General features: G+C 30.9%; 1 protein-coding gene across 9 annotated transcripts in view; it reads right to left on the reverse strand.

Moving 5' to 3' along the window:
• Positions 1 to 15,871, reverse strand: part of COL11A1 (collagen type XI alpha 1 chain) — a 232,050-nt gene that overhangs the window by 153,054 nt on the left and 63,125 nt on the right. For all 9 annotated transcript variants that reach the window (NR_134980.2, XR_007085257.1, NM_001190709.2 and 6 more), the window contains exon 5: positions 1,590 to 1,718. Coding sequence is in view for 7 of the 9 variants with exons in the window: in NM_001190709.2 (NP_001177638.1) it covers positions 1,590 to 1,718 (129 nt within the window). In the remaining 2 variants the exon portion in view is untranslated. The remainder of the gene's footprint in view (positions 1 to 1,589; positions 1,719 to 15,871) is intronic.

Raw genomic sequence — 15,871 nt, forward strand, 5'->3', positions numbered from 1 at the left:
TAGAGAAAAAAGGGAAAGCTAATTCTTTCTTAAAGAAAAAACTTTTTCATTATGACTTACTCAATCTAAAAAAAGGTAAAAATGCTATATATTATTGCATTACCCAACAAGATTGTCATGCAGTTTCTACTGTAACAATGTGCTGTTTTTCTCATCAAATGCTTCTAGTAAAACCAAGTTTGACATCTCAACAGAATGTTAAATATACATGTCAACAACTAAAATAGTAAATGGCAAGTTCATTTTTAAATGAACTTAAGAAGATGGATACAAATTACCTTGATAAAATAACAGCTTACCTGACATAATAGCATTACAACATGGGAACAAAACACCTCAAAGTGATATATTAAGAATGCAAACCTCCCTTCTTCCAAAAATCAGAGCCATATCTGTTGCTAAAAAGAATAATATGCCTTATCTTTCTTTATAAAGGAGCAAAACAGATCTCATCAACCTTGAAAATATACAGTAAATGCTATAAATTTTAATATTAAGTCAGCACATAACCTCTTAGATATAAAAACACTAAACCTGATAATTATTTTATCTATCACTTCAGAATTCACAGAAAACATATTTGGTGAATCATGAGAGAATAAAAAGAATGAAGTACATGATAACTGTGAAACAGGTAAATAAAATATCCCAGTAATTTATCTTTACACTCTCATATTTGCCTTCCTGTTAGGTTCTTAAAATTTTACCCTGTTTTTTAAACAAAAACTAACATTAAGTCATGGAAAATATCAGTGCAACAGAATTCATTATTAAACCTTAAAAAGTAAAGTAGTGTCAAAAACATACTTCTAGCATTGAAAGTGAAAAATCCGACCTGAATTCACATGCAGAACTAACAATTAAGATAAAAGATTTTGACCCATTGTAAACAGTAAAACTCAAATGGTGGCACCTAATAGTACATTTAAAAGGGAAGAAAAATACTACCTGATTCATTTTTAGAACAGTTTTGATATTTTCAAATTTCTACTTCCTTTTTAAAACTCTAAGTCTTAAAAATTCAAAATCCAAAAAAAAAAAATCCAAAAATATAGTTTTGCTCCCAACTGAGGCTTAAATTCCTTCCATTTCACATGCTTTTAAATTTTCCTATGAGAAAATTTTTTTTAAAAACCCTCTAATTGTTCAACACAGCCTGAAAACTTTAAGATAGTTCTAATGTCACTTTCTCATTTGTATGCATTGCCAAAGGCCTAGGGAGATGGCATGTACACCAGAAAATATGTTATTCTATCTTGAGGCTGTTAATTATTTAAATGCTAATGGTCGAAATATCGCTATTACATATTATCTTCTTCTCACCCCCTCCAAAATGGAATATGTGCATATACACAGTATACAAGTGAAGCACCATTATTGCTAATAAATTTATGTAATCAAATGCTTAAACAGCAAGAAAACAAGTACCAAATATATTCAAGTCACTTTTTCCTGGAAATATTACAACACAATTAAAATACAAAGCATAGCTTAATTAAAATGGAATAAATAAGTATAAGTTCAAAAACTGCACTGCGATGTCCATATCACTGAAATACGAAGACCTTCTCTGGTCTTGTGCTCCTCACCTCATCTATCTGAGGTTCCTGAGCTTGAGCAGCCTTGGGTGCTGAAGAGTCACAGTCTGGACTATAATGCTCACAGTAGTCATATGCTGCCTTGGGATCACCTGTGATCAAAAACTGCTGAATGTCCCCCTGGGAAAAAAAAAAAAACAAAAACAAACAGACACAGATTCAGTTAGCATATTAAAGTACACATATACCAAAGCGAGATGTGGTTTATTTTTAAATATTTGAAGAAGAAAAATGACCTACTTATATTTCAATGTTAAGAAGAGTCTTATAGGATTGAAAGAGAAACACCTATTTTACAAATCGGCTGTAAATATTAGGCTGTTATTCTATGTTATCTTCTGGCTCAGGAAATCTATACTACATTCATTCATTTTTCAAAACTCAATTTTACTCCACTGGTAATTTATACTGCATGGTAAAGAACAAATAAAATGTGAGCAAAAGGCTAATTTTAAAAGTCAACACATTTTAAAAACTGTGCATATATAAAGACAGTAATGTAATAGTAATACTAAATAAGTAAAAAGCTCAATAAGCTTAAAAGGAATTATTGTTAGGAAATTTATATGAAATTTTTAGAGTAAATATATAGATCCAACTATTATGTTCTGTTAGAAAAATTAGTATCAAAAGAAATCCCTACCTACAAAGATGAATGAGAAATGAAGACACCAGAAAAATCCAGATTAAAAATAAAAAAAGCATGAGTTTGATGCATTTATATTAAGAAAAAAAAAAGTGTTCCTAAGGATACATTAAACATCACCTATCAATAAATTTGTATGATTTCAATAAAATCAAAACATTAGTAATATTTAATAATAGAATTACCTAAAGAGTTTTAATTTCAAGAGCTTTTGGAAACTGCAAACAAGAGAAAAATCCAAATATTCTGCTCTTGATGTAATGTGGCTACTTCCATCTGGACTTTATTTCATCATGAAACTAATTTAATATAAATCTGTGTGTCATGACCATATTAATTCAGAATTACACTCAGGCCTAGAGTAATATCTGGGCTGATAGCCATTTAACTTGAGCATTCAATTCCCTGTAAGTTTGAGCACATAAATCTGATTCATAAAACTCCCGACTCCATATTTAATAACTTAAAAGTCATGCTAGCTTTCTTTGCATCTTATCAACAGGGATTATTTAGAACTTGATAAAAATATGGAAATTAAATTACAAAAATCTTTAAAAATTAAAGAATGTGGAAATAATTCATTCTACATTTATACCACAATATTCATTTTTTTATTAACAGATACTTATTGAGAAAGTATTATACACAAAATATTGAACCTGTGGGTGTAGAAACACATATTTGATATAATCTTTGCACTTTGGAGAGTGCAAATTAGTGGTTAAGAATATTTAAACTCTAGCATAAGGTGGAATAAAATTAATAACTTGAAAAGATATAATCAAATAGTGTAAGAAGTGCCAAGAAAGGAATAAGTTAATTAGTTAATTAGAATTGAGTATAAGTTATTTAATAAGAATTAAGATATTTAATCCTAGCAGGCAATTTCTTAGTAAATACTGTGGTTACTACCTGTGGTGTGGTTGGCACTTATTTTTATTTGTATCATTCTTTCTTCTGTCTAAAACTGTGTTCATTCTCACCCTTAGAATTAGGATTTATTTTTAAGGTTCAAAAATTTATATTTCTATGCTTACATTTCTCTTCTTTAAAAATAACAGTTATTGAGCTGTTCACACCGTTCACATATAAAATCAATTATAATGGATTTAATTAATTCACATATAAAATCCATTCTTTTAAAATTTACAATACAGTGGGCTTAGTACAGCCACAGCCTTGTCCAACCATCACTACTAATTGCAGAAAAATTTCATGACACCTAAAAGTTACCCTGCAACCAGTGGCAGTCACTCTCTATCCTTCCCTTTTCCTGGCCCCTTGTAAAAATTGGGCATTTCACCTAAATTCAACCATACAACATGTGGCCTTTTTCAATTGGCTTCTTTCATTTATCATAATGTCTTCAAGATTGATGCACGTTGTACCATGTGTTAGTACTTCATTCCTCTTTTCAAGTAACATTCCCTTTTATGGACATGCCGCAGTTTATCTATCAGTTTCTGGAAATTTGAGTTGTTTTTATTTATTATTTTGCTATTTGTTTTCTACGTTTTCTGCCTTTGTATTAATATTACGTTATTCTTCCATTACTGCCTTTTTTGAGTTGAATAGATATTTACTATTTTAAAATTTGACTTATCTTATGTTTTTACTATAGCCTTATAGGTTTCGTTAGTGGTTACTCTTAGAATTATTATTACTTTATTACAACCTTTTTCAAATTAATACTAACTTCATGTCAATCCTACACAAAAATGTTATCTTATGTAGCTCTAATCCCTCCTCCCACCTTGTAGCTATTATTGTTGTATAAATTACATCTTTACATACTATGAGCCTATCAACACAGTTTTATAATTATTGTTTTATGCAATTTTGTTTTTAATCTAAAAAGAGAAATATTATAAACAAGAACAATCTTTTATATTTACCTTTCCCAGATAACTGTACCAGTGTTCTTTATTTGAGTTAGTGTCCAGTAATCTTCCATTTCAATCTGAGAGACTTTATATTTCTTGAAAGGGAACTTTATTAGTGAACATTCTTTTAAATATGGGAATGTCTTAATTTTTCTTTGTTTTAAGAGTGGTGTCTTATTATGTTGCCCAAAGCTGGTATTGAAATCCTGGACTCCAGCTATCTTCCGACTTCAGCCTCCTAATTAGCTGGGTCTATAAGTGCATGCCACTGCACCTGGCTGTTTCCTTTGCATTTGAGAGTCAGTTTTGCTGGCTATAAAATTTTTAGATGAAGTCTTTCCCCCTACCCCCCAGAACTATGAATATGTTACCCTACTACTTCATGCCCTCCACAGTATATGGTAGGGAATCAGCTATTAATCTAAATGAGAATCCTTTATATGTTATCAGTCACTTCACTCTTGAAGTTTTGAAGATTCTCTCATAGTCTTTGTTTTTTGATGTTTGATTATGATGTATCTGGATGTAGATTTTACAAGTTTATCAGATTAAGTTGTTGAGAGTCTTGACCATGTAGATTAAGGTGTTTCATCAACTTTGAGAAGTGTTCAGTCATTACTTTGTTAAATATGTTTTCTGCCCTTACTTTTTCTGGGACTCCTATTATGCCTATTTTGGAATGTTCGGTGGTGTCCCGCACTGAGGCTGTCAACTTTTTTTAATGTATTTTTCCCCCTTATTCTCATTGTAGATAATATCAACTGATTTGTCTTCAAGTACACTGATTCTTTATTTTGTCAGCTCAAATTCTTTGTTGAACTTCTCTAGTCAATTTTTCATTGTATGTTATACTTTTCAACTACAGTACTACAATTTAGTATTTTTAGTAGTATATATCTTTATTGCTACTTTCTATTTGGTAAGACAACATTGTCATACTTGCTGTTAGTTATTTAGTCATGTTTTTTACGTTTTTTTTAACATAACCATAATTGTTCATTTAATGTCTTTGTTGGGGAAGTCCAATGTCTGTGCTTCTTCAAGGACAGATCCTCTTAACTGTTTTGCTTTGCTTTTTACTTTGTATGGCACTTAATTTTCATTTTTTTTTGTTGTCTCATGATGTTGAAAGTATTTTTGTTGAAAGTTGAACATATTAAATAACAACCCTGAAATCAGATACTATCCTCCCCTTCCGCCAGGCCTACTGTTATTTTTCTTTGTAGTTGTTGGTGCTTGTTCATTTAGTGATTTCCTTGAAGTAATTCTCTAAGTAAGTAGTCTTTGCTGCCTGTGGCCAATGAGGTCTCTGGTTAGGTTAATGATCAGTAAATGATTAGAGTGAGATTTCCTTAAATCTTGGAATTGAATGGAACCAATTAGTATCCCAAGAGACTTTCTGTGTGCCTTGGCAAACACTTTCAACACTCCTACAGTTTACAACACTGTCTTAGCTCTCACTTTTTGCTAGGTAGATCCTCAAAGTCAACCATATTTGAAATAGCAGGGCCTTCTCCTCAGGTCTTTCCTGGACAGTCACACAGGTATCCTAGATGATCAGATTAATGTTTGAGCCTTTCAAGTCTCCTTTTGGGCATCTCATTTTAAATCTTCTTTTTAGTGTTTTAAGCTGATCCCCTTTTGATCCATATTTTGACATTTAATTTCTTATTGCCAACTACCTGTTAATCTTCATCTAGAATGTCTCATTATCACCACAAAAATGAGCAACATTACATCACAAAAATGACTCAAAAACACACATCCACTAATAAAAATTGTGCTGACATAAATGAAATATTATGTTTATTCATCTTCACGATAAATTTTGTGGACTTCAGAAATATCTCCACTGATATCTCAGATTGTGCTATATTTATGCAAGTTTTTTACTCATTTTATTTAATCGTTTTTAATTCATTCACTCTCTCAAATAGTGCTTTAAAAATACATGTAATATGCTAGTATGTCCTAGTAACACCCAAATAAGGAAACATCTTCTTTAATTTATGATGAAGCATAACATAAAGCAGAAGTAGAAAATATTCATCTAGACAACCATATTTAAAATCATCATAAGTATTATTAGTACTTCTAAACTTGAAAATATTTATTTTTACATGTCATGAAATAATATAAATAACTGATAATAAAATTAGTTTCTGAGTTTTTTTGTAAATTATTTTTAAGTAGGAGCATCTCTAATATTGCCTAATACCTACTAATTTTAAATAGACACATAGCAAATAAATACAAGTTCTTAAAATATACTGATAGTATTTCTCAAATTCCAACTGAACAATTCAGAACACTGAGTAACCATACCTGAATTGTTATAAATGAAAAAAAGCAAAGAGAAATTTGAATACAAAATTATTAATATTTAAAACAAATAAGGAGGCACTATTGAGTACATGACAATATGACTGAGTAATGGAATCACTGAGGGTTTTGATTACAAACTCTGCTTCCTAAATTTTCTCCTAGCTTTGCCATTAACTACTTGGAATTGTGCATCACTTAATTTATCATTTGTAAAATGAATGCACTGAGAGATAATAGCTAAGTTCCTTTCCAGGGATAGAAATTCTAGAATGCCATACTTAATTATATACAAATTATAATGAATCAAGTGAATCTATTGCTGAAAAACAAAAAAGTTGCTATCGTATATATATATATATATATATATATATATGATACTTATGTATATAAATATATATTATATATAATATAAATATATATCTATATATGCATCATGTATGTTTATAGTACTTTTAAATAATATATATTTTTAAATAATGCTGGTTTAAGTAGTTACTATTCTATTTACAGTCCTAACTTGACTAAATGGAATCCTGCCAACTTTTCCAATATAAATTCTTATTTCAGGTGTTTAATAGTCATAAAATATACTAGAAAGAAACTGGAAAAATTCAATAAAAAACTTACAGTCCTATTTTTTCCCAGAAGGCATTTTACAGTGTTTTATGTTAATCGTATGACATGTTTTAAGACACTCTGTAAACAAGCTCATTGTTACAGATTGAATGAACTATAAATATTTAGATTCAATAGTGCCATAAAAATTTTCACAGCTAAAAAAGGTAAAGTTATTGAGTAAAACTGGCATCTTTAGCATACAAGGCATCCTCCTCCTTTAATGGTCCACAAAACCAAGATTAAGGTACAGTTGATGCAATTACTTTGTGATCTCCAGCTGTGTCAACTGGGTTTATACTATAGTGTTTGCCTATAGACAGTATGGGTATAGAGTGAAAGCAAATAAAATGTAAGAAAACTAAATAGAAACTGTCTACACAGATGATGTTCTTGTGAATGTCACATGCATTGCAAAAGGATCTCACTATTTTTTTTATCAAAATCAAATTATATAAGTAATAGCATACTTTTAAAACCAAACAAATAATGCACATATGCTAACTTTTTTTGTTCATTTTTTTACTTTGGTTTGCATATATATAATTTTATATATATATATATAAAGTCTATATAAGGCATAGCTGTTTCAATTTTCTGTGCTATGAATGTAATTACATAATGGTCTATGAAATACACAAGTAAAGATACATTTAGATTGTGTGTGTGTGTGTGTGTGTGTGTGTGTGTGTGTAAAGAATCACATTTATTGGAAAAGTATGGTAAATAATATTGGTCTAATGTCTTAAGGTCACATGTCAATGTGTTAGTGCTAAGGATCTGAATTTCAGATTGAACTCCTTGTCTTATGTGAAGCCAACCAGTGATTGGTTTATGTTAGTTCTCAGCCTGAGCATCCACTGAATTGCACAGCAAAGCAGCTGCCTCTAGAGAATGAGCAATGAAAAACCAGCCTGTGATACTGTCTTGTTCAATTCCATCTGATTGAATAATGTGACTTGTAGATGGATTATGTGTTTGGACCTTAATAGGATCACAAAAAAGGCAGAAGAAATTTAGATATAACTAAAACAGTTAATGCAGATGTTGAATCAGTGCTCAATTATAATTGAAAAATGATCTTCTCTCTTAAATTTTAATCTAACAACTGGTGACTGCACAATTCCACAAGGCTTTCAATTCTACTCTGAATCTCACAAGATCTAAACTTTTAATATTAACATTTAAAGTTTTTTATTCTAAGAGAGCAATTTTTTGTAAGATCTGGAAAATAACACTGTAACGATTGACTATATACCTTATTGAACTACAGAAATATCTAAGATTAGATATTTCATCTCCCTAAATGCTAGAGTAAATCACACAGCTATAATTTTGTTCCATAAAATCATCTAGATTCCAAATTTCTTATAGTTCATTCTTGTCTCCATTAACTTGCAACATACAGGTATCTCAATGAGAATGAACATTTTCATGAAACGGTTCTTGGAAAAATCTTGATGATTTGTTAAAAGCAAATAGGAGTTAGCCTAATGAAGGGGATGGAGGTAAAATAGCATTAAACATAAAAAGCATCTTAAACAAAACTTTTGAGGGATGAAACTGTATGACGAATTCAGAGACGTAGGTCAGGTGTAGTGGCTCACACCAGTAATACTAGCACTTCGGGAGGCTGAGGTGGGTGGATCACCTGAGGTCAGGACTTCAAAGCCAGCCTGACCAACATGGTGAAACCCATTCTCCACCAAAAAAATACGAAAGTTAGCTGGGCATGGTGGCGCATGCTTGTAGTCCTAGCTACTTGGGAGGCTGAGTCAGGAAAATCGCTTGAACCCGGGAGGTGGAGGTTACAGTGAGCCAAGATCGCGCCACTGCCACTGCACTCAGCCTGCTCGACAAAGCGAGACTCTTTCTCCAAAAAGAGAGAGAGCGAGAGAGAGAGAGAGAAGTATATATAGTGCAGCACATTAGAGGGAAGGACTTACATGGTGATGATAAAGAGTGAGGGTAAAGAGTAGATATTTATTTTTAAGTTAGGAACCAATTTAAGAAAAGCCTTGCATGTGAACTGAAACTCAAAAGATGTCATTTGAGTGTCATTTGAGGACTCTGATAAATGAAATAGATTGATCAATGTTGTATTTTAAAAAAATCACTTTGACAGCAAAAGGGAGGATAATTTGGAAGCAGCCAGTTTGGAGTCAGATAAATCAATTAGGAGTTGATTTCAATAAAAGTGTTGAGAATTGAAGCCAAGTCAGCCATACTAGGAATGGAATAGATGGAACAGACAGTACATATATTAGTAAAAAATATATCTGTGAGATTTGGAAACTGACTGGATGCTGATGATGGAGTGAGACGAGAATGATAAGGAAATATGGAGCAAAGTGTTAACAGAGGAACGTAGAGCAATTCTGCAGTTTCTCAAGTAAGCAATGGTAGGATGGCAAAGCCATTTACTCAAATAGAACTACAATAAAAGGAAAAAATTGGAGGGTCAATCTCTTAAGTCTAAGAAGTAGAATAATAACTAACAGTCATTTCTGGAGTAAGGTCAGTTTATCACTTAAGACAGTGACTTTTATTTATTTTTGAACTGTATCTCTCCTATACCTGCAGACTATCAGACTGCATCATTGAAACCAAACCAAGTTTCAAGAATCAATAATAATTGGCAGAAAATTTCCCTTTGATATGACAGTCCGTACTTCTTTCTGTAGCAATCTTATACCTATTTTTTTCATTGTTTATCAAGAACAGGATGAGCTTGCCCAGACTGAGTGCTAAGGGTTAAATTGTGTCCCCTCGAATTTGTATGTTGAAATCCTAATTCCCAATACCTCACATTGTGACTGTATTTGGAGACAGGGTCTTTAAGAAGGTAATTAAGGTTAAACGAAGCCACTAGTATGGTCCTGATTGAATCTGACTGGTCTCCTTTAAGAAAGGAGTAAGACACAAACACACACAGAGGAAAGACCATGTAAAGACACAGGGAGAAGACAACCATTTCCAAGCCAAGGCAAGAACGCTCGGACAGAAGAAAACGACTCTGTCAACACCTGGATCTTGGACTGGTAGCCTCCAGAACTTTGAAAAAATAAGTTTCTGTTATTTAAGCCACTGAGGCTGTGGCAATTTATTATGGCAGCCCTAAAAAACTAATATAAATCAGTTAATACTAGGGTTTTTTTTTTATTCGTCTGAAGTTCTGTCTTTGTAACAGAGCAAAGGTCATTTCAATTGAAAAAAAATACAAAATGGATATTTGTTTATTTATAACAAAAGTAATAACTGACTATATCCAGGGTCCGGTATTAAGTAGATGCTGTAGAAATATTGGCTGATTTAATTTGGCAAGTAGCTAGAATACAGGGTAATCAGAAGTTATACACCTGACAGTATCATCATCATAGACACCCCTCAGTCCACTGAAGAAAATAGAAAATAAGAAATGTAAAAAAGCATCATTCCAACTACAAATAAAGAATTTAAAGAGGACAAATTTTTAAGAAATATCCATAAAATAGTCTTATTTTTAAAATACATTTTATTGTGCTAGTAAAAGATTAAAATAATTTTGTTTGTATCATTAATTCCATCTTAATAAAGTTATATTGTAATCCTACTTCATGTCGACAATAGAAAACAAAAAATGCTAGAAAAACATACCCCTAATATTTGAACTATGTGTGTATACATTTATATATATTCCAATTATATATATTATATATAGACAGAGTTCAAATATATAGTTCAAAAAGTACATATTCTCATATTAATCTCAAAATATATATTAAAGTATATGTTCTGATAATCTCAGATTATATACTTTTTTGTATTCTTTGTTTCATTTTATCAGTTTATGTTAACATGAATCAAGACTAAACATGTTTAGTTCCTTGTTGATTTAAGGAAACTCTTATGTAAAAATTTAAATTACAATTCTAAAAAATACTTAGAGATGATTCTCAGATTACAAAAGGATTCTTCATATCAATGTTTCTTTAAATGATTAACATTTAAAATGTTACCACAGTTTGATCCCCCTCCCAAAATAAATTCATCTGATACATTTTAAAAACATTTGTTGTCCAAAATAATATGATTGAAATTAACATTTAAAATACTAAAGAGGATTTTAAAACAAAATGAAAATCATTTTGAGACCTCTTTTTAAAAAATCAATTTGAGAAAAATTATTCATATGTAAGGAAACAAGTATGTAATATTTTTATTTTTCTTTAACTTTTATCATACATTTTACATAATATATTCAAAACATATAATTTCAATTTGTATTTAACATAAAAGCTATTAATTATTATTCCTACCATGTTTTTGAAAGATTATGTATATTTTACATTTAGAGCACATCTCAATTTGAATGCTAATTATTAATGATAAATTCTTAATCAGTATTTATTTTTAATGTGCTTTTTAATTTTTATATTTTTATTTTGAATTGACACATAATGATTAACTTTTATTTTAACACTTAGACTCAAAAGACAAGTTCATATAATTAATATCATTGTGAAGGTCAAATATGGCCTTTGCATTAGGTAGTACTTTCACTGCCTGTTTCACAGAGTTAGCATTAGAATTTGACATTTACATTTTATTTCATAGTATTTAACTTGGCAGTAAATTTTAGATTTATTTTTAAAGTAATTGTTATTTTTGGAATATGAAAGAAATTATAGACTATTTTCACTATTTCATAAAGAGTTAACAGTTGAACTGACACGTTTATTCCTCCAACACAATACCAGATATTTGGGTATCAGCTTTTTACATATCAATTTTTAGCATCATCCTTTTTTTTTGGTGCCTGTTCTAAGTCCCTCAGAGAAAATACCTGTCAGAGAATAAAAATAAATAATTGGTAATTGCATTTCTATATATTTATTATTTTAATTTTATATAAAGTGGTACTATCCCAGAAATAACAGGTCTTTTAAAAATAGTCCCTTATTTTTGCTCTGTTGCAATCCTCTATAACAATGAATGATACATTCATTCTTTAGAGAATTGAAGTCTCTTTAAATCTAAATCGGCTACTTTATAAAGTATGTAATTCGGAGAGGACTTTTAAAGTATGCATATATATAATATAATCAGCATACCTTTATTTTTTCAAATTCTGAAACAAAAATTATGTTTTGGTGTCAAATGTGAAAACCTGTTTCCTCTACAAAATATAGTCAGTTTGTGCCTTGAACATGCAATATCTGTTGAACAGTAAACGATGGAAGGCTTGCTCAAAATTGAAAGCGAGAATTCCCTACTGATATGGGTATATTTTGGAAAAACTGTATTTTGGTTGAAGGCAAAAACAATCTGTTATACAACATTGTTGTATAACAATATAGGTTCGTTATTTTAGGAAAAGCTATATTTTGTTCCCAAAACAAAATGTTTTCTTTTGTGTGTATTATAACAAGTTAATAGGCTAAGATATATTATAAATAAGATAGTAATTATATTTCTCCTATAACTTTTAATTCTAACTTGTACAAGGATTTTAACAGCCAGGTTACTTTGAGAATATTTGTCTTTGACTGTTTACCAATCATTCATCTATCAATTAATTCAATAAATATTTATGGAGGCAAAGTATCATGCCGACACTATGAATAGGAGGAAAATAAACCTCCTCTCAAATACTTATAGACTGGTTATTCAGATTATTATACACAAATAAATAAGATATGAGACACATATTTCTTTACTACCTGCTATATTCCAATTATGAAGATATAAGAAATTTGAAATAACTTTCACCTGAGAAAATTAGAGGATTTATCTAGAATTTCCTGGCATAATTTATGTGAAAGTGGTCAGTTTTTCTTTTAAATAAAGGAATACTTGTTATTCACTGTTGGCACCCCAATTCCTATTACTAACATTTCTGTCTCTTACTCTGTGCCTGCAAGAATCTGACCCCTAAAGTCTGCATCACCAGACTCTCCCGCAGGTTGGTTTCCGGGACAGACATGGAAGCTACCACCAGGAGTTTGGAAGTTGGGAAGGGAAAAAGGTTGGCATTGTTTACCCCCATACTTTCCTAGCTTGTCACAGTAGTCTGGGACCCTTATCACTATTGACACTGCTAGAAAGTACTTCTACAGAACTACAGCTCCTCACTGAGCACTGTATCAGTATTTATGCCCCTTGCCCCTTTAGTCCTCAGGAAGGTAATGCTAATTACTAGATTTCCCAGCCTCCCTGCTCAAACTTCTGAAACTACCTGAAGAGAGTTCTGTTTTCTGTGGGAACTCAGAGTGAACCCAAAAGAATATGAGAAGTTGGGGAAACACCATCTACTTGAAGACCTAATATAGAAATTGGTATCATGTATATAAATATATATATATATGAAATACATCATATATATGAAATAGATCATATATGTGAAATATATATGATATATATTAAATACATCATATATATGAAATATATATGATATATATTAAATACATCATATATATGAAACATATATAATGAATACATGAAATACATCATATATATGAAATATATATAATGAATACCTGAAATACATCATATATATGAAATATATATAATGAATACCTGAAATACATCATATATATGAAATATATATAATGTATATATGAAATACATCATATATATGAAATATATATATAATGTATATATGAAATACATCATATATATGAAATATATATTTTATATGTATATCTGGATGACCAAACAGTAAGTTTAAGGATTTGAATAACCAGTATGTGTGTCACATGTCAGGAAGGTATAGCATCTCTACAAGACAATAAAAGGCATAGTTTACAGCCTGGGCTCCTTACTTAACCAGTCAATCTATTTTGTTCAATTAAATTCACTGGAATATAAACTTCATGAGAGCAGGGACTTTTCAGTTTTGTTGTCAGAGATTTTCACAATTCCTGGACTAGGCCTTCTCATAGTGAGTACTCAATAAATGATCAATAAATGGATCTCCTGGCCAATAATTTATTCACCATTGAAAGACTTTATTTCAACACCTGTAAATGAAGAATACTATTACTTGTATTTCCTCAGAAATTCTAAACACAACTAATATAGATTTAAGCTGTTTATAAACTGTAAAGTATATACAAATATAAGATATTTTATTCCAGTGTTTGGAGTCAATTAAAGGAAAACAAACCTTTAAGTGGCAGACTTCTAGTTATAATTTTTCTAAAAATAAGTTCCAGTTTCAGGAGTCTTAAAGTCATTATTCTATAAATCAAACACATGAGGAAAAATGTAATAGAAAGAAAATAAAAATACATTTAGGTAAGTAGCCTTGTATGTGCCAGTGTAAAATAAATAGCCTAACAACATTCTATAATATTTTCATAAGATAGCCCCTAGACCCTAAAACTTCTGCTCACATTTGATATTAGAGCTTTCAGGAAAAGTCTGGTGGCTCTTGGCAGAGTTTTTGATTGCATATACAAGGCTGAAATTAAATCTTAAATGTGGCATAAAATTCTTAAGAAGTAACTACCATAATCAGAAGATTAATGAAAACCTATGCTTCCTGTCTACTTAGAATTCTGAATTTGCCAAGGCATTAACTCTCACCAGTTTTTTTTTTTTTCAAACACCCCATACAGTTAATGATTTTTTTTTCTCAACTGTTTTCTGTGGTAAAGGAAAGTTGCCAAAATGCTTAGAATTTTAGTGTAATTGAAAAACGCATCAGAGATTGCATTTGAACCATAATTCAAAGGAAAAAATGAGGGAAACCATATAATCACAGACATAACTACTTCCCACACAGCCCTTGTATTGCGCAGAATCCCAAAACTAACTTAAGAAACCAGCTTTGAGAAAATTAGCAGTGTCTTATATTACTTGAATGTACTTCTAATTCAACATCTGCTTACCAAGTACTACAGAAAATGCCAAAAGTTGGATAAAACACTATGAAAAAACTGTACGTTTATCTTATACTTTCTAGGTTATCAATGTTAAACAAGGATTCTTACTAAAGCATAACTACCAATATGGCTCTATTGCATCAAATAAATTTAATTAATTAAAAGGTTATAAAAAGGTAACAGATCTTGCTTCCCACTTCCTTGTCTGCTATAGATGACCTATACCCTTTGAATTAATAAGTGCTAGAAAATATATTTATTCATTCACTAAAAAATACTAGTATTACATGTCAGGTACTATTTTAGATTTTGTGGACACAGCACAAAGCTCCTGCATTCTAGGAGTTTATATTCCAGAGGGAGAAACAAAATAAGAATAATGTAGTATGCCAGAAAGTAATAAATGCTGTAAAGAACATAAAGTAAGAAAGGATAGCGAATATATGTCAGAAAGTAGGATACTCTATTATAAAGTGCAATCATGGAAAGTTTCACTGATTAAGAGACACTGAGACAGAGACACTTGAGGAACTGAGGAAATAAAAAATGCTATATCTAAGAGAGAGCTTTCCAGGCAGAAGGACTAATGAATGTCCAGGCCCCATGGCACAAGCAGCCCCAAGGCAAGAGATTAATTAATATATTCAAGTGAGGGACACCTTGTGAACCAACAATCCACAGGTAGCAACATGGAGAGGAGACACTGATAAACTCTAACAGGAGAGGCAGAGGGTGTGGTATGGGTCACATAAGGTCCTGCAGACTATTGGAATAACTTTACAAATGAAATGAAATGCCACTGGAAGATTATGAGCAAAGAGGTGGCACACTTCATTCATTCATTTGTTCTTTTGGCCAGGTGCTACTTGAAAGAAATAGACTTGCTTTTCTAGTTATGCTGCTTAGAGAACAGATGAAATGGCAAAAGCAGAAAGA

Source organism: Homo sapiens, chromosome 1 (assembly GCF_000001405.40).
Source record: "Homo sapiens chromosome 1, GRCh38.p14 Primary Assembly".
Classification (NCBI taxonomy): domain Eukaryota; kingdom Metazoa; phylum Chordata; class Mammalia; order Primates; family Hominidae; genus Homo; species Homo sapiens.